This window comes from Homo sapiens, chromosome 18 (genome assembly GCF_000001405.40).
Source record: "Homo sapiens chromosome 18, GRCh38.p14 Primary Assembly".
Taxonomy (NCBI): Eukaryota; Metazoa; Chordata; class Mammalia; order Primates; family Hominidae; genus Homo; species Homo sapiens.
The window spans coordinates 57,029,988-57,054,471 of NC_000018.10; the positions used below are offsets into that span (position 1 = coordinate 57,029,988).

The following is a 24,484-nucleotide window of genomic DNA, read 5'->3' on the forward strand; positions in this document are numbered from 1 at the left end:
TGGCACTCTCTGTGGTTTGGGAAAGGCGTTGCATGCCTGTTGCTTTATCTCTACTCTACATGCTCCCAAATAGACTGGTAATGGCACCAAATCATATCTTGTCAGATTGGATGGCATGGGTTGGCTGCCTCTCGGGAGCTAGGCTGAGATCATCAAGTTCATTGCATTTCACGCTCAGTTTGGAGTCGAATTTGAATCCCTCAGGTAAAGGGTATAATTGGTTTTCAGAAAAATCAAGAATAATAAAATAGGTCCTTACTGCTCATAGAGGGTTATGTGTAAGTAGTGAATGTACTTCTTGTCTCTTAATTATTTCAGATAAGAACACAAAAGCTTGATTTGAGTCAATCATCGTGTAACAGTATAATTTTCTGTAAGAATTCGGTGAACATTCCAGGAGTGGTCTGAGGCATCTTGGGCCCTATTAAATGCCCACTGTGGGCCCCAGGAAATGTTTTAACATCTCATGACTTAAATGTATTCTTATAGGGAAAATAGGGGCAGTAACAGTTCTATATGATCAGCGATCACATAAACTGATCAAATGTGGAAAGGCGTGACGTTAATAGGAAGGTAAAGCCAAGCAGTGCTGGGTGAACTTTCACCTTTCACCCCTTCGGCTGACTGACAGAGCCCAGTGTTGAAGAAAATCAATACTTTGGAGCCAGGAGGGAAATACTTCCACCCTCTAACTAGAGAATGTGTTTTGACAAGGCCAAGATAATCCAAGCTGCACAGGAGAAAGAGAAAAGAAGACTCATTTTTAAAGCCTGACACTTCAAGGTGTTTTTGTGCAATGGTTTAGAGATCGTCAATACATACAAATACCAAAGGTCAAAAAGAAAAGCCAGAAGAATTTCAAAAATTAGATGTTCAGTTCTTTTTGCTGTTTAAAAAAAAAAAAAAAAGGACTACAGAGAGTTTTGTGCTTGTAATTGTCCTTTTAATGAACTAAGCTCACAATTGTGTGACCATTGAGGTGATCATCCCTCTTTAATCAAAACTTACATTTTTGTAGCAGCAGAACGATGAATATTGAATGCTCAAAAAGCATTCAGACTTCCTGCTTCTGTACACCTTTTGGCTACAGATTGTTTTGTTTTGTTTTGTTTTGTTTTTTTGAGTGGTTACATTGTTTTGTGCTAACATCTCAGAATTTGGTTTTGCAATTCATGTTGATTCTGCCATAATGGCATTGTAAATCCTGGATCCTCCTTCACATTCAGTTCAATCCTTTGCATGAGAAAAGAGTTCTTGTACCTAGAACTTAATTTTTTTTCTAGTTTCCCAAGTCCCTTTAAGCAAATTACTTATGAAGATATTCTAATTAATGTCTCTCTGAGTGAGAGGTTTATGCACCTCTAGGAAGATGGTAAACAATTCATTCTTACCAGCAAGATTAGAGCCATTCATTCTGTAGACAAATACCTCCATCAAGTGGATATAGATTCTTTGCTTTCCTACTGATAAGAAAACTAAGAAGCCAGTGGTGCCCATACCTGCCAGACAAGCTCAGAAGGACAAAGGAGTCTTAAGTATCTAAAGTACATCATCAGGCCTGCTGTAAACATGTGCTAATTAAAGAGTATTAAAAATATAGTGAAAATATAGCTTCTATTTATATACCTGCTTACTCATTAATAAATCCCGTTCTATTCTGAGGTGATAGATCAGGCTGGAAATTTTTATTTTGTTTTGTTTCAAAAAGAGAACGCAGCCAGCCAAACCTCCTCAATATTCTGAGATTTCCCAGAGAAGGCCAGGAGTCTAGCACTGCTCGAATTGTAGGGGTATGAAGTAAATATGTGCTGCATTTGTGAAATCCATTGTATTGCACCTGTCAAATGCTCAGAAGAGTGGCACACAGGAAGCACTCAATAGATGTAAGCTAATATTTTTAGGAGACAGGAGTCCTAATTGAGCATGGATAAACAAGATGACCTGTGTTCTTTGGAAAACTTGGATTTTTGTTTTATGTTTTCATCTCTATGTGGACTCCACAAGTAGATCTGAACATCCTATCCAAAGGAGGGCTCCTGTGGTTCTGTTTGTATTCCCCAGCTGCTTTGCCATATTGCTATGTGTTACCACCCCGCTTCTCACCAAAATTTGTAGACATGAAGAAATGCCTAAATACATGCCAATGGAGGAAACTGGTTGGTTGTGGCTGAAGTTATCACTGATTCCTCAAAAAGAAAGATCACCGCATTAGATTTAGGACTCACATTAGCATCAGGGGTGACTTTGAGTTTCTTAATGAGTTTCTTCCAAATATGCATCTATCGAGATTGAATAAGACTCTGGACAAAAGTATTGTAGAGTGGATTTCATGGAATCACCAAAGCAAAGGAAACTGAATATGTAGGTTCTGTTGCCAATATCTTCTTGTTCTGACTTAACGTCAAAATGACTTAGTGCTTTAGTCTTCCCAAATTTGAAATGTATTCTCTAAAACAGCGGCCCTCAACCCCTGATATCAGACTGTGGCCTGTGAGGAACCAGGCTGCACAGCAGGAGGTGAGTGGTGGTGAGCCAGCAAAGTTTCATCTGTATTTACAGAGGTCCCCATCACTTGCATTACTGCCTGAGCTCAGCCTCCTGTCATATCAGCTGCGGCATTAGATTCTCATAAGAGCGTGAATCCTATTGTGAACTGAGCATGTGAGGGATCTAGGTTGCACTCTCCTTGTGAGAATCTAATACCTGATGATCTGTCAGTGTATCCCATCACCCCCAGAGAGGACCGTTTAGTTGCAGGAAAACAAGCTCAGGGCTCTCACTGATTCTACATTATGGTGAGTTGTATAATTATTTTATATATATATATATATATATATATATATATATATATATATATACAGTGTAATAATAGAAATAATGTGCACAATAAATATAATGCATTTGAATCATCCCGAAAACATCCCCAACCACCAGCCTTTTTTGCATGAAACTGGTCCCTCGTGCAAAAAAGGTTGGGAAATGATGCTCTAAAACTTGACCCACCCAGCGGCACTTCAAGTTTTAGTGAAAATGTGTGAATAAAGATACGGCAATGAAACATTATTTGTATTCAACCAGCAAGCTTGTATTGAACCTTAGAATATGCCAAGCGTATGTTCTTTATTTTATTTTCCTCTTGCTGATGAGCTCACAATCTCACCAAGCACCATAACACTATGGAATAAGTGCTGAGACCCGGGGCAGGTAAAGAGCAATGAGAACACAGGAAGTGATCGATTCTGATGAGGTGGTATTGTTAGGTTTCCCAGAGAGGAAACATTTGGGCTAGGCCTTAAAAAATAAATAGGAATTAATTAGGAGGATACTGGGGATGTTATAATGTAGGAATTTATAGAAGTCAAAGTTTTGTGTGATCGGAATGAGTATAAACTACTTCAGACCTACAACCTGAAGGACATTGGTAGATGCTGCCAACAATCAAGAAAGTTCTTCACTTTGCAGCCATTATTGCAATAACAGAAAACCAGACTCCTTTGTCAAAGGACACTCGAAATCCATAAGTCAAAAACCCTAATAAAAGATTTTTCCGGCTTTAGTGTTTTCCATGTTTCATTTTCTTTATTTAAGAAAAGCTTTTGTTGTTTTAAAAATAAGTTGTGTGTTCTCCTACTCCTGGATTCTACTGTGTGACTGGCACAGTGAGTTGAATGCCTGGCACAGTGCACTGCCCAGGTCCTCCCACCCCCACCCAAATCCCACTGCAGAACCGAAGCATTCTAACAGCTGTGTGCTGAGTCCTTCCGTAAAGATTGCTTCCCAGCCAAAGAGAACTGTCTCACCCAAGGTCATGCTTCCTTTCCTGGGGAGCAAACACATCCCATGATGGGTCAGGAAAGAGGTTTAAAGACCCAGCCCCGGCTGAGGTGTGGTGGCTCATGCCTGTAATCCCAGCATTTTGCGAGGGTGAGGCGGGGAGGATCACTTGAGGTCAGGAGTTCAAGACCAGCCTGGACAATGTGGTGAAACCCCATCTGTATTAGAAATACAAAAATTAGATGGGCGTGTTGGTGGGCATCTGTAATCCCAGCTACTCAGGAGGCTGAGGCAGGAGAATCACTTGAACCCAGGAGGTGGAGGTTGCAACAAGCCGAGATTGTGCCACTGCACTCCAGCCCAGGCAAGAGAGTGAGACTCTGGGTGACAGAGACTCAGCAAGTCGTAAGGAAGGTGCTAAGGATGGTGAGTCTCCGCCTCAAAAAAAAAATAAATAAATAAAAATAAAAGACCCAGCCCCAAGCTCCATTTCAAAACCACTTGGAAAGGCCATCCCAGCTCCAGAACTCCCTTGAGCATTGACTGAAGGCTTCACTGAACTGCATCCCAGCTCAACCTCTCTGTCTGCCCAGGCCTGGGCATTTCCTTACAGATGCTGATCCCGAGAACACTGCTCCATAAACTTCCTATGTGCAGACCTCTCTCACACATAGTCTGCATCCCAAAGAACCCACCAGGAGTGTCCCAAGAAAACAGATTCAAAAATGGAGTTTGGGAGCTGAGCCACCCATTGAACCATGAAAAGAAGGACCCATCACTGGTCGTGGGCCCTCATGGACAGCCTCTGGCACGCTTGGCTGCACAATTGTTAAAACTTTCCTTGGTGATGCTTGTATGGCGTGCTGATGGAGGGCGATGTGCTGGAGGGTACCACGTGGCAGGAATTGAAAAGTAAGGGAAAGGAAAAATTATAAAGACGATGGACTTGGATGACTGTTGTGGAGTGCTCTGGAAAAAAGACAATGAAAAGCTGAAGGGTGATTAATCACCCAGTAGAGGCTAAATGTGAAAGCCTCTGGCTTTCTCTCAGAGAGAGAAAGTCTCTCTGAGACTCCTTAACATCTAAGGAGAGCTTCATCTCCTACAGCCAAACATGAGCAGGCTCAGCCCATGGAGAAGCACAGCTCCAGAGGCTGAACTCACCTCTAAAAATCTTCTGCCCCAGGGTCAGAGCCCTGACAGAGGTGAACGGGGTTCTCTGGGTTGATGCACTTGAACAATCTTGAACCCCCGATTCCAGTGAACCCTCCTCGGGCCTGCCTACATGGCCAGCTCCTCCCTGTTCAAAGCCGGCGTTCCTCTTTCTTTGCTTGAAGATAATGCAGAGGCTTCTCCCATGCAAAACTACACATGCCCCCCACTGGAGTGACTTGGGTTAAGTCATGGTACAACCTGGCTGCCAAAGTGCTGGACCTGCTAGGACAGGGAAAGAACCATCTCCCATAGGAGCTGTAGGTCCTCACCAACATGTACCCAACATAGCCACTGAAATGGGACTGGATTTAGCAGGTGCTGGGTCAAGGGGAAACGGACTATAAAGTGGGTCAAGGGAGAGTTTATCGATAGGAGATTGAACAACCCGCAAGGACCCAGGGAAAAAGTGCTGCCCTGATGTTATAAGCTGCTTGGCTTGGAGAAAATGGTGGCTGACACTAAGAAGAAATGTCAGAACTGATGTGACAGAGGGTGGAGGCAAGAACAGGAAAGCTCAGAGTGAGGAGACTGCTGGAGCAGGTATGCTAGGTACCCCCAAATCCACTGGATGCCTCTGCTCTGCGAGAGAGGCTGGGGACATTCATTCCAGCAATGAATTGAAGGAAGGTGCTAGAAGGGCACCCACATCCCTGCAGGCCAGGACTGAGGGTAGAAGATGTCATGACAGAACTGGGCCCCAGGTATCAAGGAGGATGACAAGGTCCTGAAATAATACAGACCTGGTGGGTGCAATCATCATAATTAGTAGCAAGTTTGGAGTGGCGGCCAGAGAGACCAGACCTGCAGAGATCTTTGGATCTAATAAAACATGTCATCCCTAAGTGCAAGATGGGAGGGCAGCCAACAAGGGTATTGTTCATCTATACAGGCAAAAGAAATCGAAAATGGATCACAGGAGGCTGAAAGCAGCCATTCCAGTAAGAAGTCAAAATCCCTTGCCTGGTTTGTAAACCCAAATGGCATGGTTAGCAGGAGCTCAGACCCCTTGTGGATGAGACTCTGGGTTTGCCCAGTAGTAAGCAATGGAAAGTAGCAGAGATTCTTGCCAAGGGGGAGGAGAGTTTAGAATGAGTAGTAGAGAAGGGAAGCAATAGATATCAGTGGTGGCTTTGGGAGCAGCTGCGACAGCAGGGGTTGTAGTTTGTTCCACTAATATTTCTGTTATGTTTCCCCCAGAATCCTGGAATGGCTGTTCCCAGGCTTTTTTCAAAGCAAGTGGATCTGAGCGGGGCAAAGGGTGAAGGCAGGGGACACTGTGGTATGCATTCACTCCCCCAGGTACTGGGTTGTCGGCAGCTGATATTTCCCAACTGAGACCTGCTACAGGAATTGCTTGAGGCTAAAGAGAGCCACTCTCCTCAAGGCCACATCCTCCTCCCTAATGAGAGCTACACCCAATAACCCATCATGGGGATAAAAGGACTCAACCCTCTTTGCTTCAGTTTGGAACATCTCTGAAGGGCCATTCCAGCTTCATAGCTCCCAGCGCATTTGTCAGAGAACTCTGTTGCAACCACATCACAGTCCAGCTCCCCCCTGCCTATGTATTGCTTCCTTCACACAGATGTTGATCCCAGGAACACTTCCTAATACACCCGCTTTCAGCAAATCTGTCTCAGAGTCTCCTTCCCAGATGAACCCACCTAGGTTCAAGTATGGCTCTGCCACTTATTAGCCAGATAACTCCCTTTGTATACCACTCACATCTCCATGTCCCTGGTGTCCTTGCCTGGAAAATGGGAGTGATGATCATGCCTGCCTCATAGTCTTCTTGTAAGAATGAAAAGAGAAAAGAGTTAATATATGCAGCGCACTTAGATCATTGTAAACATTCAGTGAATGCCACTATCCTAACTCTTCTTGTCTTCTTAAATTATGAGATTTTTCAGGTCTTAATTTCCTGCTTCTGTGTTACAGGAAAATAAGCTTTACCATGAACTCTTTTCCTGTTTTTTTTTTTTTCTTTCTTCAACCAAATCCAAATGCTCAGTTTTAAAAAGTAAAGAGGAAAGCTGGAAGGGAACTAATATTTCTGAGGACTTATTGTGCACCAGGTACCATAGTAGGTGCATTCATTATTTTTCTTAATTCTTCATTCTGAAAGCCAAGAATTAGCTCCCTTTTAGAAATGAAAATAACTGCAGGTCACATAGACAAATGACCAAGATTGCACCAAAAATAAAAGGGAAATCTAATATTTTTGAGTCCCAGACTCTGTTGCCAAGGCCCAGTTTCCTCTGTGTTTCCAGTGGCCCTCGTGGAACAGGAGATGAGGAGGGAATCGCCAGGGACTATCCGGCCACAGTCTTTAGAAGCAGGAGGAAGTGTGGGGAGAATAGAAGAGGTTTTTGGTTCATGTAAGCCCCTGTGTTTTCCCTTTGGATGTATGGCCATTGTGCCAAATTTTACAAGTACTGGAACTATGTTGATTCTCATTTGTGAATAGCAGGACTATTCACAAATTAGTGATTTTACAACTCAGCAACCAGTTTTTTGTTTGTTTGTTTGTTTGTTTTCTTGTAGACAATGGATACTTTCTTTGGGAAAGTGGAAGTTGATTGACAGCAATTGGCCCTGGTTTTCATTGATTACGCAGTAGCATTTAGTGCTGCTGGCCAGTCCCTGGCACTGCCCGCTCTCCTTGCCTTCATGGGGCCACAACTTTCTGACTTCTCCCGTTTGCTTTTGCAGACACCTCCTCTTCCTCTAGATATTCTTCTCCAGAGAGGCAATCTTTAATAACTTGAGAGTCACTGATACATATAAAACAGACTTCCGAAACTTAAGATTAAAAAAATGGTTTGCCTCCCAGGTGACTTGAACAGAGAAGTATTACAAGACATACTCTCTCCACTTGGCCAGAATCAGCAAAGAGCATCCCCTGACAGGACAGGGGCTGTTCCAGTCTCTATTGTCACATATCGGGTTTACATAGTCTTGGCTCCCCATCCCTGATGATCTCGTTCTGGGAAATATTGGAATATATCAGAACCTACTAGAGCAAACCATAATATGCCACCATACTCACATCCATTAGCCTCAGCTTTGGCCCTGCAGCAGGCTCCAGGCTGTGACACACATCTCAGGTCTCTTTTCTAACAAGTGAAGGGATTGAGGATCCAGATGTGCTTGGAGCCCATGTGAGGCATTTGACATATGTAATTTCACTTAAGTCTCTCAATAATTCTGAATTAGCCCACATTGTATAGGTTAGAAAACTGATACACTGACAGGTTAAGTAACTGGCCTAAGGTCACACAGCTAGTAAAGTGGTAGAGTTGGGATTAAAATCCAAAGTGCTCTTTCCTCTCCATCAATGGACGCTATCATCAAGGCCAGCTTTATAGTAGCGAAAGAGACATGCTTTATTCTCATATTGACCTCAATAAAAAACCAAGGACCTCAAAATTCAATCTTCATTTATTTATTCCACAGTGACTTATTGAATGCCTATTATTTTCCAGGCATTTCTAGCAACGGTGAAATTAATACAGTGCAGGCACTCACATCCTTTATGCATCTCAAAGGCTATCTAGCTAATGCGCTGGATGTTGTGAGGCCCATTATCCATAGTGTACACACGCCCGCAGCCCCTCCTTCTGATGGTTTAACTTGGAGCAATCCTCAATGGTTGTGCATAGCCAGATACACGCACTATGCACACAGGCACTGGGTTCTGGGTCACCTCCCTGGCATCCCAGGCCTCTGTCTGCTTCCTTCAGTGCTTCCTTCTTCAGCCGTCCCTCCCTGGATCCCAGCCACCTGAGCTCCATCCATCCCTGATTTCATTCCTTTTTTTTCCTCTTCCAGCTCTAGTCCACAGCCTTCCTCCCCAGGACATGTGATTCAAGCCTGAAGCATACAATGGGAGCACAAAGGAGGAGGGGACAGAGAAAAGAAATGAGCATCAGCCTTGGGAATGTCTCCTCTGACTGTAGAGTCAGGAGACATTAAGATAAACATTCACTGGAACATATACATTCTGGTAGATTCCGATGAGAATTAAGCCCATTCATTCATCTGGTAAATATCTAGTGAACATCTACCATGCATCAGGCAGAGAACTAGGTGCTGGGATTGTAGTGGGGAAGGCAACAGTTGTGACACCTGCCCTTATGGGCTCACAGTCTAGTGGGCTGGGGTGGGGACTAAGCCAGCCACAAATTGTAACATGAGCAGTGACGGAAACAAGGGCAGCTGAGACCCAATAGCCCAGGGAAGGAGTGGGCAAGGTCAACCCGGGGTCTCTGAAGGAAGATAAGGAGCTGGATGTTGGTGGAGCAGTTGGAAGCGGGAAGAGCTTCTAGAGAAGAAAATAGCACGTGTGAGGTCCCTGAGGCAGAAGGGAGAGTGACAGCAGGTAATGAGCCAGGTGTGGCCACAAGTGAGGCATCTGGACAGTATTGAATCCTGTAGACAATGGTCAAGGGCACTCTTAGGGGACTCAAAAACCATCCAAAAATTGTGAGTTGAAAGGTGTGATTTAATTTAGCTAGAAAACACCACTCAGCTGCAATGTGGAGAATGGGTTGGAGTGGGTTGGGGGAAACGGGGTTTGTTAATTATCTATACAGTAACAATATTAGCACAAACTTCTTAAAACACATTTGCCCGGGTGCAGTGGCTCATGCTTGTAATCCCAGCACCTTGAGAGGCTGAGGCAGGCAGATCACTTGAGGTCAGGAGTTCAAGACTAGCCTGGCCAATATGGTGAGACCCCATCTCTACTAAAAATACAAAAATTAGCTGAGTGTGGTGGTACACACCCATAATCCTACCTACTTGGGAGGCTGAGGCAGGAGAATCACTTGAACCTGGGAGGCGGAGGTTGCAGTGAACGAAGATGGCACCACTGCACTCCAGCCTAGGCGACAGAGTGAGACTCTGTCTCAAAACACACACACACACACGTACACACACACACGCACACACACACTTGCATGCACACATGCGCATGCACACACGCGCATGCACACACACACATATTTATGGCATTACAGCTTCTCGGAACCAGGCATCCAGCCTAGGCTTAGCCAGGAGCCTTGGCCTCAAGATCTCTCACAGGCTGCAATCAAGGTGCTGGCTGGGTCTATGGTCCCATCTGAGGCTTGTGAGGGAGAGAATTTGCTTCAAAGTTCATGTCATTGTTGGCAGAATTCAATTTCTTCTGCTTGTAGGACTGGGGGCCTCACTTTCTCGCTGGCTGTCACTGGAGGCCCTTGCAGGCTGTTGGCTGGAGCCTAGAGGCTTCCTGCAGCTCTCTGCCACTTGGAGTTTCCCAACACAGTCACACTGCAGCGGTGGTGGCATTATGGCTGAATCTTGAAAGATGAATAGGAGTTTCCCAGGGTGGAAGAACATTCAGACAAAGGGGAGACGTGACTGAAGGCATGGAACTGTGAAGGCAGGTGATGTTTTCAGGGAGCAGCAGATGTAGCCAGTCCCTTACCCAGAGCCATGTTCCCCTTTATTCCATGCTTCTAAGCCTGGGCTTGGCTCTGTTCTTTGCACCAATGACCATGTGCTCAGGCTGGAGTTTATCAGCCTTGGAAATGGAAGCTTGATTAATTCAAGCCAGCAAGCTCATGCAGTGCCTAGTGGTATAAGTAAGGCCTTCAGTGCCATTCTGGCCCATGAGGTGGGAGGGGGGTGCTCTTGGGAAAGGTTTTCCTCCCCAGTGAAAAGAGACATTCACGTAGAAGTTTCTATCTGTGGACATAGCTGTGTGAATCTGTGATACCTGGGAACCCACAAGCCATTTTGGGCCTATGTTGGAACCCACCTTGGCTCAAGCCAACTTACTGGGGTAAATCCTCAGTGACATCACTGGGCTTCTAGAGGAGCCAGCCCTGCAGACACCCACCTCTTTCTCCTGTCATATGATATAATCATCTTCCCCACTGGCTGAGCCCCTTGCAGCCAACCCTTGAAAACAGACTGTACAGTGTACAGTGACATGGCATGAAGTGATTCAAACTCATGAGCTGAAGCCAGCATGAAGATCTTTGTAGCCAGTGACACGGAGCTAGGCTGTTTCCTGAGAGGTCTGGAGAGTTCTCAATGATTTTCAGGGCAACAATGATCCCATATCTTGGCTAAACCTGGTGGCAGGATGCATCATAGTTTAGAAAATGGAGATCGTTGTGACAGGGAGGCCAGGGATGGCTGCACATCTAGAGATTCTGAGAACTCAAACTATTGCAGGTGTGATGGACACCAAAAGGAAGGGCCAAGGGACATGTAAGAGGCAGGAGTTAGAGGAGTTGGTGAGTGAAATGTCAGGAAGGAGGCAGAAGCCCAGGGTTCCCCAGTGCGAGAGATGGGGGACCAATGGCATTTGCCAGTCCAGAATACTCACATTCTTGGAAAACATCATCCATGTTCACACCTTGATTCCTTCACTGCTACTGTTCCCTTCGCAGGTAGGATCCTTCCACAGAAAATTCCCATTCACATAATCCCACATTATAGCATTGCTGCCGTGGGGAAGTCAGATTCCATTTACACTATTCAGACTTGCAGTCCCTCAGTCAGGAACACCAGCTCCAGGAGTGAGACGCACCTCTACGAACTGTATTTACGTTAACCCTCAGAACACCATCCCACATGACAAGCCACAGGGTGAGTAGAAGGCTGAATTACTTCAAATGTATTGGTTAATAACTTAGTCAAAAAATACAAAGCTGCAGTGTCTGTCACATTGGATCTATTTCTTGAAGACAAAGGCTAAGCTTCATTGCCGGCTCAGAAATGCACTGGAAACAATTCTTGTTGTTTCACTTCCTGGGGCTTATATTTCTTGCTGTTTGTAAAATATGGTATTAGATAACAAAGAAGAGTCTGGGTAGAAAAGGGTAGAGTCTACATTCCTCATGTTGAAAACCTGCTTAGGGTGATTTTCCCCTTACTGAACTCCTAAAATTACCAAAAAAAAATGTATTCAATTATTATATTTTGAATTTCATCAAGAAAAAATGTGTGGAAATTTGTTTTCTCTCTGTGCAATATTCTCAATTTTGCCTCTTAGCCCACAAAGCCTAAAATATTTACTATCTGGCCCTTCAGCAGACAAGGTGGCTGTCTTAGTCCATTTTGGCTGCTATAGCAAACTGCCATAAGCTGGGTGGCTTATAAACAACAGAACTTTATTCCTTACAGTTGTGGAAGCTGGGGAGTCCAAGATCAAGGCATGGGCAGGTTCAGTGTCTGGTGAGGGCCCAGTTCCTGGTCACAGAATGCATCTTCCTGCTGTGGCCTCACATGGTGGAAGGGGTGAGGGAGCTCTCTGGGGCCTCTTTTATGAGGGCACTAATCTCATTTACTAGGGCTCTGCCCTCATGGCCTAATCAACTCCCAATGTTCCCATCTCCCAATACTGTTGCTTTGGTGATTAGGTTTTAATGTATGTATTTTGAGGGGACACAAACTTTCAGTCCACACTGGTGACTGACTCCTGAGCTACAGCCATACCATTCAAAGTGTGGTCTGGCACTTCTCAAAAAAAGACATTTCTGTGGCCAACAAACACATGAAAAAAAGTTCATGATCACTTAGAGAAATGAAAATCAAAACCACAATGAGATACCATCTCATGCCAGTTAGAATGGCGATCATTAAAAAGTCACGAAACAACAGATGCTGGAGAGGATGTGGAGAAATAGGAACACTTTTACACTGTTGGTGGGACTGTAAACTAGTTCAACCATTGTGGAAGGCAGTGTGGTGATTCCTCAAAGATCTAGAACCAGAAATACCATTTGACCCAGCAATCCCATTACTGGGTATATACCCAAAGGATTATAAATCATTCTACCATAAAGACACATGCACATGTATGTTTATTGCAGCATGGTTCACAATAGCAAAGACTTGGAACCAACCCAAATGTCCAGCAATGATAGACTGGATAAAGAAAATGTGGCACATATACACCATGGAATACTATGCAGACATAAAAAAGGATGAGTTCATGTCCTTTGCAGGAACAGGGATGAAGTTGGAAACCATCATTCTCAGCAAACTAACACAGGAACAGAAAAACAAACACCACATGTTCTCACTCATAAGTGGGAGTTGAACAATGAGAACACATGGACACAGGGAGGGGAACATCACACCCCAGGGCCTGTCGGGGGTGGAGGGCAAGGGGAGGGATAGCATTAGGAGAAATACTTAATGTAGATGACGGGCTGATGGGTGCAGCAAACCACCATGGCACAGGTATTCCTATACCTATGTAACAAACCTGCACGTTCTGTACATGTATCCCAGAACTTAAGGTATAATTAAAACAAAAACAAAAACAAAAACTAAAAAGCAAAGTGTGGTCTGGGCACCAGCCGCATCCATATCCCCTGGGAGCTATTTAGAAATGTAAAACCTTAGGTCACACCCAGACCTCCTGGGTCACAACTGCATTTTGGCAAGCTTCCTGGATGATTCGTGTGCACCTACAGTTTAAGAAACACTTCACAGGAGTCCATGTGGAACCTCACAGGTGCTGTTGATAGTTTCATTAGGCACCAGGCTGGGACTGGCTCTGGGCACCACCATTCACTGTGTCCCAAGGTGGAAGCCCAGGCCTCTTGCACAGGGGTGCACTAAGGTATGCTGCTCCCCATCAAAAGATTGGCCCAAGCCCAGATCCTAAAGCCAATCTCTCTGGGGCATCTGTTTTCCCATCTGTATGACGGAGGGGTTGGAAAGGCTGATGTCAGAAGACCAGTATGGCTTTATCATGTGTTTGGTTTTTGTTTGAGGGGGATTGATAGGATGATTTCTGTCCATGTTCATGTTCATGTTCCAGAAACATGGTAGGTTGAGATGAAAAGGGCATGACAAGAACCACAGCAGCTTCCAGATGAGGCTAGTGTATGGAGATGTGAGATTCGGGATGTTTCATTTTACATAGATCATATTCTGTAAGGTTATTCTTCTAGTTCTATGTTTCTTTGCATCATAGGAAAAAGGAATCGGATCCAGGGAAAACGCTGTACCACTGGGGCCCGGGTGCCTTAAGTGGTTTTCTGATCAACTCCATAGAATCAGAATGTCAGGACTACAAGTCATCCGTGTCCCTGCAAAGGACATCTCATCTTCATTGATCATCCATGGTGCTGAGCATTTAAGAGGCACCAGGGATGTAACTTTGAATCAGAAGAGACCTGGTTCCTGCCCTTGTGGAGCTTACATTCCCGTGGGTGAGACAGATAAAGAGCAGTAGTTATAAGCAAAAGGGGGAAAGGAAGATGCGGGGGTAGGGAGTGGTTTGCAAGAGGAGTCAGGTCACACAGGGTTGGTGTGGGATGGGGCATTAACAGGAAGAGAACACTATGAGATTTGTGTTTCGAAGAAACCATTGGCTGATGTGCGAGATTGGAGAGGAGTAAGAGAAGGCATGAGGAGACCAATTAGGAGACTACTACAGCTTCCCCAGAGGGAGATGACGAAGGGAGGGCAACTGCTTCCATTGCAGGGAGCGAGACCCAGCCCCAAAGAAAGCAACCAAGGATGAAACTGAGAACTGGGGTAGAAGGTACTGACACCAAAGTCCCAACCAAAATAGTTAAAACCGGTCATCCCTGGCAATAGTACTGCAGCCAATGGAGACACTGTTACTGAAGGACTGTGTGGCCTTGGGCAGGTTACTCCACCTCGCTGGGCCTTCTGTTCTTTCCTTGAAAATCAGAGGTTCAACCAGATAATTACTGTATGTGGTGACCAGATAGTTTCTTGTCCTAACTGGGACACTTTTGAGGGCGAAAGATGGAACAATTAATAATTACCCCAGGACAACAGACATAAACCTAGCCAATCCTGGGAAAACTGGGATGAAAATCCCTGACAATCAGAGCTCAGAACCCAAATGAGCTCCCTCCAAGTTCAACACTCTGTTTCTCAACAATTCTTTTATAGATTGGGAGCTGAAGTCAACTCATTTGTAACCAGAATTAAATAGATTCAAAGTTCCTGCTGAACTGAACTCCTGGCTAAGAACCCTGCAAGCATCCTTTCTACTCCCCAGTGCATTGAAAACCCTATTTGTGGTGAAAAGAGGCCCTGTTTTAGCCTCGAGAAGGGTGGAATTGCTGGTGAATGCAAGGACTGGCAAGGGGGTCAGCCTATCTCTGATATGGATGATGCTGTGCATGCACCTGTGGGGTCATGGGTGGAGGGAAGGCAGATGGAATCAGAATGCCCCCAGAGCGGGACTGTTGACTATGTCCTGGTTAGACCCAAGTCTCTCAAAAAGTCATCTTCTTCTTTTATGAAGACATGTAGCATAGCCAGTTCATTCTAGTTGGAAAGGCAACTAGGATTTGGAAATAGGAAATTCAGATTCAAGTCTCAGGTCTGCATGCTACTTCCCTGCTGGTGACCTGGACAAATCACTTTCCTTACTTAATCTCCCATTTTCTCAGTAAATATAGATAATGCCACCCTCTTGAGACGTTGTAATTAGGATAAAATCAAATCAGTAATATGAAAGTGTTCAGATAATAGAGAAAGTTTTTAAATAAACTCTTTACTTTGAAATAATTTCAGACTTACAAACAAGTTGAAGAAAGAGTTCCCATGTGCCCTTACTCAGCATCCCAAACGGTAACATGTGACATAATCATAGTTCAAGAATCAAAACTGGTGAATTAACATTGACCAATACTGTTAAACTAAGCTACAGACCTTAAATGTTACCAAATGTGTCAGCAAATGTTCGTTTTCTGGTCCAGGATCCAATCCAAGACCCCACAGTTTCTTTGATTCTGATACCAATTGAGACTCTTCTCATCTCTGACAGGTCCTCAGTCTTCCTTTGTCTTTCATGACCTTGACACTTTTGAAGAGTACAGGTTAGTTATTTTGCAGACAGTCCCAATTCAGGATTGCCTGATGTTTCTTCATGATTAGATTCAGATTGTGCTTTTTTTTTTGCCAGGAGACCACAGCAGTGACATTGTGTCCTTCTCAGTGCAGTGTATCAAGAGGAACATGATGGTCATTCCTGGCAATGTCCACTTTTATCACATGATTAAGGTAGTATCTGTCAGTTTTCTCAACTATAAAATATGTAAACTATGATTTTTTTCCTTTATAATTAATATGTGTCTTATGAGGAAATGCTTTGAGATTATGCAGAGACACTGTTCCCCATCATACATTTTTGCAGTAATTTTGGCAGCCATTGATGATTCCTGCCAGTAATAATCATAGTGGTGGTTGTTATGCAAATGGTGAAGCCGTTTTAATTATTGCTTTTCTTACTTTTAAGGTCTGGGGCAGGGATGGCAAGTTCCAACCACTTGGTGGTGGCCTTCTGGAACTCTATGTGAGAACGATTGTGAGGTCAAGTTCTCTTAACAGGGGAAGGATTGTGAGGTCAAGTTTTCACAACCTGGTGAGGGGAGGTGGGAAGGGAGCAGACAGGTGCCATATTGGCAATTCTAGGATGGTCCCTTCCCCTTTGGAGAGATAGATCTTGCCTGTTGGGCCTTCAGGCCAACACACACTAGCCTCGCTAGAAGGAATACTGCCTGTGTACCTCCTTCTTTCCTCCTTTGGGCCTACTTTGTTCTTCTGAATGGCTGAAACTCCAAGGCACCATGGTCTGCACAGATGGTAACTATGGTGCCAGGTGTTCCACAAGGAAGGGCAGCTTGTGCTAGGCTCTGGATTAGCAGGGCTGGGGCTACATTCACTTCCTCCCCAAGAGGCCCTATCTTTCTATACCAGTATGTAGTTTCTCTGATGAGATCAGCATGGAAGCCAGTTGCTTGGTGTGGTCCAGGAAGGCTTCTGAGAGGAGGCTGCTGCTGGACCTTGAAGGTTGGGGAGAAGATCACTGATGGGATTTGGGAGCATGCAGAACAGCGTTATTGCTTCACCCTGGCATGCCCTTTCCTTCATGGACTGGATTCTCCTTTTATCTGGATTCCCCCATTATATTTCCTATTGCAGCCATAATAAGTTTCTCCAACTTAATGCCTTAGAACAACACAAATTTATTATTTTACAGTTCTGGAGGTGGGAAGTCCAAAATCATCGTCACTGGGTTAGGTCTCAATGTCGGCAGGGCTGGCTGAGGCTCTCGGGAGGATTATCTTTCCTTGCCTTTTTCCAGCTTCTAGAAGCCACCTTCAACACCTACCATCAGATCTAAATTCCAGACAGCAAGAAGATGTGAAAACGCTCTTTCCTTCCTTTAAAGGCAAAACTCAAGACACACATCAAAACATCAAAACTCAAGGCACACATCCAAACTCATGGCACACATTAAGTCTGCTCACATCTTGATAGTCACATGGCTACACTCAGCTGCAAGAAACCCTGGGAAGTATAGTCTTTGGCTTGGCCACTTGTCTAGCTCAAAAATTACTACAGAGGAATAAGGGGAGACAGATAGTGGTCTCCTCTTCTTCAAGAGAGGTAAGAGGGCACAATGCTGCCTTTTGTCTGATGTGATGGTTAAGAAGGAACAGACCAATGTGAGGTGTGAGTTATGTGCTGTGACTTGGACTCATTCAACAGCAAGACCCAAGGTTTACTCTGATGGGACAGATGGGCAGAATCAGTGACCACATCCCCTGTCATGAACCTGCTGCAGCCAGTGTGATACCTGTCCAGCACAGAGATTGGCCCAGGGGAAAGAGCGTGGGCTTTAGAGCCAGATTAAATTGGGCTTGTATTTGGGTTCTCCACTTGATAGATGTGTGAACCTCTTTGGGTCTCAGTTTCTGAATAAATAAAGTGGAAATGACAAAACTGACCTTGGGCTTTTGGGCATATTCAATGAAACAATGTAAACAATCTAGCCTGGAACCTGGCACACAGTAGGTGCTCAAACAATGTAGCTAGCTGTAGTGTCCACCCACACATCTACACAATTGGCAGCACTATCTCAAATCTTATAGACAAACACATGCGATTCCTCCTCATATTGCAAGGTCCCTTCAGAGCAGAAGGCCTTTGAGAAATGGTAGAATGATTTGTTGCTATCTGTTACCCTGCTATAATTTTCGTGTTTGGAAATTCATTAAGAATTCATTTCGATGAATCCCAAATGCATGCACCATGAAAAACAATTAGCATTAATAGTGTAAAAGAAGGAGATCAATAAATAGATTCATTTTTAAACTGTAATAATTTATTTGCTTCCTAACTTTTGGGAAATACTGCATCTTCTGGTGACACGTCAACCATTAAATAGCCGAACAGCGATGATTTGTGGAAGGACGTTGATAACCAGTAGGCAGACCCTGCTCTCGAGTGCACAACCCCAGCAACCAGTCAGCAACAGTGGACAGAAAGGGAAGCAGCCCTTTTCAGGAGACAATGCAACTCAACAAAGTGCTTATCAGGCCTTCCTCATCCTTAAGCACTGTCCGAATGCAACACAGCAGATGGGAAAAGTAACGAGACCACTGAACCAAAGATGGGGAGAAGAAAGGTGGCATTCCTCAGACAGTGAACAGGGAGAGGAGAAAGAGGTTTCAAGATGAGCTGCAAGGCTCTGAGATTCACTTCACATGGCTCCCTGCCTATGCTGATGCAGGAAGGCCCGGGAAAGAATGTCTGGATGAAGAAGCAGCAGGTGATTCCCGACTGAGGAGGGAGGAAAAAGCCAAATGAAATGAGGGAGCTGTAGTCAAGGAGGGGAGGAAGCCGAGGACGGCAAGGCCTCTCAATCATCGCTTACCAGGGACAGAGGGATGGCTGCCATTATCCCTTCTCACCACGACAAATGAAAGACGATGATACCTAAGAAACTGCCGCAGCCACACAGAGCGGCAGGAGGCGAGGGTTTGCCTGGTGAAAGCCAAACGGCAGCCCTGCTCTTTTGCAGCCTCCTATGGGACATCATGGCGAGCAGTGACGGATGGAGAAAATGCAGCATCCCTGCCGGGCAGGACAGCAGCCTCAGGCCAGGGCTCTGGAGGATGGACAGGCAGACCCCACGGCCCAGGATCCAGGAAGGCCCTCTGCCAGGCTGTGGCTCCAGGAAGGCCCTCTGCCAGGCTGTGGCTGAGAGTGGCCTGGCCTGGGGCATGGCTGCAGATGCCGCCCCACCCGCCAGCCGCAGGGCTGGGGGCCGGCACAGATTACATTTTAAGGTGATAGTCATCTTTGACCTTTGGGACCTCCAGGGCCACTGGTCATCCATCTTAGAGCCGCTGACCAGCAACCTCTGGGCTATTTTTATGGCCGGCAAACATTGCCCATTGATTGAATTGATTGAAATCTGCATCTGGTTCTTGGGGAAAGGACACTGGCCTCACAGCCGCAATATGCAGCTTCGTTTTCTGTTGTTGTCTTTGACTCTTTCCTTTCCATTTGTCTTCCCACCCCCAGCATGAAATGAGTTTGGAGACAGGGCGCACACACCAAGACACACACGGCCTGAATACACACACACACTAAACACACACGTCCCGCATTCTTTTCCAGCAGATTTCTTACTGTGGCGCTCATTTTTCTGTCAGAATTTCAAGGGTTCCTCAAAGGAATTCCGCTGAGAAAAGCAGAGGTATGTTCAATCCAAGGGGAGTCCACACACACACACACACACACACACACACACACACACACACACCTGTTTAAAAATACACAAGAGCCTGAACTATAAAACCAAACCACAACCATATATGGAATTTTAAAATCTGGTGATTTTGCAATTTGTCAACTTCTAAGCTGAATAGCAGTTTCTATAATTCCCTTTCCGGCTTCGTGCAGGTGAAATTTGTGCAAGATGGGTGAAGCGGATGGGAAACTCAGCCATTCGGATCCTGGATGGTCCCTGCAGGCACTCCTGTAGCTCATGCCTGGCTAAAGCACTTCAAGAAGCCCCTGACCCCCAACTCCACCCATATCATTTCTCCTCCCCAACCTATTTGCAAGTCCCCCATCTCCCCTACCTCCCCTGCCTCTCCCTACCTCCCTTGAGTTAGATTTGTATGGGTATATGATCATGATGATGAATATTATTATTATTATTATTTTGAGACAGGGTCTTCCTCTGTTGCCCAGGCTGAGGTGCTGTGGTATGATCTCGGCTCACTGCAACCTCCACCTCCTGGGCTCGGGTGATCTTCCTGCCTCAGCCTCCCAAGTAGCTGGGACTATAGGGTCGCACCACCACACCTGGGTAATTTTTTGTATTGTTTTGTAGAGACGGGGTGGGGGGTGTCTCTTCATGCTGCCTGGGCTGGTCTCGAATTCCTGGGCTTAAGCGATCCGCCTGCCTCAGCCTCCCAAAATGCTGGGATTACAGGCTTGAGCCACTGCCCGGCTAGTATGGGTATATTATTAATATATGTTCCCCACCTCCTCTCAGTTCCCCAAGCACACCCCTACCTTCCCCAGTCTCCCATCTCCCAGAAGACTCCTTCCTTCAGCTGCTCCAAACTGTGGCCAGGTGTGAGCCAGCATAGTTCCAGGGCAGAAGCGTGCCTCCTCCTGCAGGCAGGCCTCCTGGGTAGCCAGGTTGGAGCCTGGAGACAGAGAGGCCAAGGCAGGTTCCACCTTGTCCACTGGGGGTTCCCATTGTCCCTGCTCTCCCCTGTCACTCCTGTCTTTCAGTTGCAACGCTGGCCCTGGGACTTCAGGCACATGACCCCACTCAGAAGAAACAAGACTGTGTGCCCAGCTCCCACAGCAGTCAAATCCCTGCAGTGGGCTGCTCATTCTACATCACTCCTAGTGGTTCTGCTTCCTTAAACCCCAGCCAAACAATGTGTCATAAAGGTGAGACGTGGAAACAGGGAAGTTATTGCCATGATTGCATTTTACATTTCAGACGTGGCCTCGCTGACCTCACTGGCATCTGGGCTGGGGTACAAAGGTCCCAGCTTGGCCAGGCTGATGTCTGCAAACCCCAGCCCTGACTGGCAGATGGGCCATGCCTCTGACCATCTCTCCTGCCCACTGGACCACTTTAACGTACTCTTTCCATCTCAAGCACAGGAACAATTCCCTTCTGGAATGTTCCTCCTTCTGAGGCTTTGAGAAGGCTCACTCTGGGGAGCGGATGGGGTGAGTCCTGGGAGTGAGTGGCACCTCTTTCCTCACTTAGAGCCTAGGTGGGGGTGAGGAGGGTGAGAAAAGGAAGGGGCCAGAAGAGGGTGAGGAGAGGAGCCCCAGGCCTTGGGGAGAAGCCCAGCAAGTGTGCAACGCCCTGCAAAGCATTTCCTCTCTCTCCCTCCCTCCTCTCTATCCCCTGACTTTATGGCTGCTACACTGGGAGAAGCTGGGTTGGCCTCCTCTGCATCTGCATTCCCGTGGGAACCAGCTGCACTACTTCCAGAAACGCCCTGCCCCAGTGGGTCCTTGGTGCTGGGCCCACCTTCCAGTAGGTTTCAAGAACTGTGTGCCCATAAATAAATCCTCCAAAGAGATGCCAATCAGCAGGTACCACCAAATTGTCCCTGGAAGTGACTTTTCTGTAGGAATCCATTATTTCTGAATTGAATGGAGGGAATCTCTGATCTCCTTCCCCTGCCTTCTGTCCCAGCTCATCCCTCCAAGGAAAGGGAGGGCCCCTCCTGGCCCCAGCCTGCCAGGGAAGGGGGTGTTGTGAACTTAGCTGGGTGTGGCCTGGAAAGCCCTTTAATGGATCCAGTTTTGTGGGGTGGGTGGGAGGCTCCAAGCACCCCCAGAGCAGGGGCCAGGGTGGTGGCAGCAGGGCGAGCCACTGTGGCTGTCACACAAGATAACTGGAGACCTACCCAGATTGGACAGAAGCCAGGCGAGCCATTGTGGCTGTCACACAAGATAACTGGAGACCCGCCCCAGTCTGGCCAGACTTCCAGTTTAAGCCTGATTTAATGACAAGCTGAGTGCAGACTCCTGAACCTCAGCACCTGCAAAAAACCAAAACCAACCAAACAAAAAACAACCAAGAAAAGAATTTCAAGGGGATTTCCTTAGTGGGAAATGAGGCACTGGGCAGGGCCCTGGGGACAGCAGCAAGTAAGGAGCCCTCAGATCTGTGGGGATTTGGGGTAAGGTGCTTCTCAAGCTGTTTCAGACCCAGGCCTCCTCCTGTTCGCACTGAGCCTAGTCTGCTGGCCCCAAGGTGACCAGGAGGTTCAGGGGCAAAGCTATGATTACTTAGAGCAGGACAGATGCTGGTTTAGGTCCCAGTTCTACCTGGTTCTAGTTATGGGACCTTTAGCATTCATTACTTTTTACCCTTAATTTTCTCTTCTGTAAAGTGAAGAACGTATTTATCTCACACTACTTCTATGAAACAGCCAATCTACTGTGTTAAATAACATAAATCCCCGCCCTGCCTCTATTCTCAGCCACAAGAACTGTTTGGCATTTGGGGTGGATCACTCTTTGCTGTGCATTTTGTGGGAGGCTTAGCTGCATCCCCAACCTCTACCCACTAGATGCCAGTAGCACCCCCAGTTGTAACAACCAAAAATGTTTCCAGACATTGCCAAGCGTCCCCTGGAGAAGTGCCCACATTGAGAACCCCTGATTTGTAGAGATGAGGCCCAGTAATTCTCTGTGGGTTGGCATGGGTTGGGGGTTGGGGGGTCGGGGGCAGAAGGCACTGCCTTCAAGGATTTGTCCTTCCCTTATAAGCTTCCAGACCATGGCCAAGCCCTTGGGCTTCTTGGGTCCTATTCCCTCATCTGTAAGTTGGTAGAACAATATACTCAACAACAGGCGATAGAATCATGGGTGATTGTGATGTGACAGTGCTATTTAATTGAAGGCACCGTCATCATCTGGAATGGTGGGTCCCTGAGAACAGGGATTCTGTCTCTCCGGTTCACTGCCAGTCCTGAGACACAACCAGGATGGATGGAGGGAAATGGACGCTGAAGGAGGAGGTGAATATTCAATGTGCTGCCTCTGTGCCTGGTGAGCTGGGCTGGGCCCCATGACTCCTTCAGCTTTAAAAGTCAATAAAATTGATTCATCCATCACCCTTTGACCCCTGCAGCAGGGCTGTCACCCAGAGGATGGTCTCAAACTGGAGTGCGCCCAGATCCACTGGAGGTGTGTCAGAAACCCGGCTTCCTAGCCATGCACACTCCAGCCATACTGCTCCAGGGTCCCATTCGGTGGGCCTGGGAGGCCCAGGATTCTGCATTTGAACCCCTTGCAATCTGACTCAGCTGCTCTGTCACCCTCCATGTCCTGGCAGCATCTGAAAGGGTCTGGGACAGGACACCCAGCAGGATGGGCAGCCCTCCCCAGCTGGTTCAGGCCCAGCCATCCCCACTTCTCTCAGTGTGGAAACTGCTCGAATCCCCCAACTCCACCTGGTAGGCACTCTGATGTCCCACACCCACAGATTGGTGCCAGGGCCAACCCTATTTGCTATGGGGCTTTCCTGGTGCCCAGAATTTGCTTTCTGGATTGTTTTAATTGTTGCCTTGGTTTTGACAAACAGCTGACGGGCAGAGTTGTTCAGGAGTAAGTGCTCTGCTTTGGAGACAGCAAGGAGAGGACGCTGAGTCCGAGCCTGTTGGGTCTTGGTGGCCCCGCAGACTCTGCCGTGACTGCCCTGACCATCTTTGCAAATCAGGCTTTATTAGCACAGAAACTTGGACTAGTGGGTCCTCTGCAAATTCTGGTTTTAAATAAACCACATTCTGGAAACTTGTAAGCAATATCTAAACTTCCCACAAAGCCCCGATTGTAAGTAAAATCATCACTCTTTAAACCTGCTGAGAAGCAACCTCTGCCACATTCTGAAGCACCCCAGAAAGGCCCTGGAGCCTCTCCCAAGCCTCCTTAGTTCGGCTTCTTTGGCAGGAACCCCTCAAGCTCCAGGAATACACAGAGCTGATGATGCTGATTTAAGAATCCTACTTTTTTTTGTTTTGTTATTCAAAAGCCCTTATTGAACTAACCAGGGTTCTTAATAGCTTCATTTGCAACAGTTTTATCCCAAGACTTACTTAGGGTTCAAGAACAACCAGCTGTGGCCCCACCCCAAAAGGCAGCTGCAAAGAACCCCCTCTGCACCCTGTCACAGTAAATCCAGGCTGCTCTCTGTCTGTGCAGGAGATGAGGGGGTGGGTGGGAACTTCATGAAGAATCAGATGGGGAAAACCTGGCTCCATGCAGAAAGATTTGAGCCCACTGAGGGTTGGAATACAGGTTTTATAACCTCTATTTTCCAGGCACCATCTTGTTCCCCCAAAGGGGCTTTCTCCTTAAACTTTTTCCCCTGACCCCTGGCAACTGCCATTCTACTTTCTATTTCTATGAATGTGACTACTCTATGTACCTCACATAAGTGGAATCCTATGGTATTTGCTCTTTAGTGAGACTGGTTTATTCCACTTAGCATAAAGTCCTCAGGGTTCATCCATGTTGTACCATGTGTCAGGATTTCCTTCCTTTAAAAGGCTGAATAATATTTAATTCTGTGTATGTGCCACATTTTGTTTATCTACTCATTCACAATGGACACTGGGGCTACTTTCTCCTTTTGCCAGGGTGAATCATGCTGCTA

The 24,484-nt window shown here is 46.3% G+C and overlaps 1 protein-coding gene and 2 long non-coding RNA genes across 6 annotated transcripts in view, besides 1 other annotated feature; all 3 read left to right on the top strand.

Annotated features, from left to right (window-relative positions):
- The window catches only part of WDR7 (WD repeat domain 7), a 385,248-nt gene extending 378,629 nt beyond the window's left edge, over positions 1 to 6,619 (top strand). The window contains exons 29-30 of one of the 4 annotated variants that reach the window (XR_007066134.1): positions 106 to 204; positions 319 to 2,153. The gene's annotated coding sequence lies outside the window, so the exon portion shown is untranslated. Of the gene's footprint in view, positions 1 to 105; positions 2,154 to 4,367 lie in introns of those variants that run through there. The other 3 variants (XR_007066131.1, XR_007066132.1, XR_007066133.1) reach the window with 3 other exon arrangements.
- Positions 6,620 to 9,991: 3,372 nt separating this feature from the next.
- On the top strand, positions 9,992 to 19,308 carry WDR7-OT1 (WDR7 overlapping transcript 1). Its single transcript, XR_001753461.2, has 3 exons — positions 9,992 to 11,631; positions 13,973 to 14,210; positions 15,809 to 19,308. It is a non-coding gene; the product is annotated as a WDR7 overlapping transcript 1 (long non-coding RNA).
- An 800-nt stretch (positions 19,309 to 20,108) lies between these two features.
- LOC105372136 (uncharacterized) lies at positions 20,109 to 21,495 on the top strand. Its single transcript, XR_935515.2, has 3 exons — positions 20,109 to 20,149; positions 20,584 to 21,036; positions 21,251 to 21,495. It is a non-coding gene; the product is annotated as an uncharacterized LOC105372136 (long non-coding RNA).
- Positions 21,886 to 22,105: an enhancer, noted in NCBI's record as "active region_13366". NCBI's record gives its function as "activates an Ori minimal core promoter by ATAC-STARR-seq in GM12878 lymphoblastoid cells {active_cell/tissue: GM12878}" and the evidence as "EXISTENCE:reporter gene assay evidence [ECO:0000049][PMID:35858748]".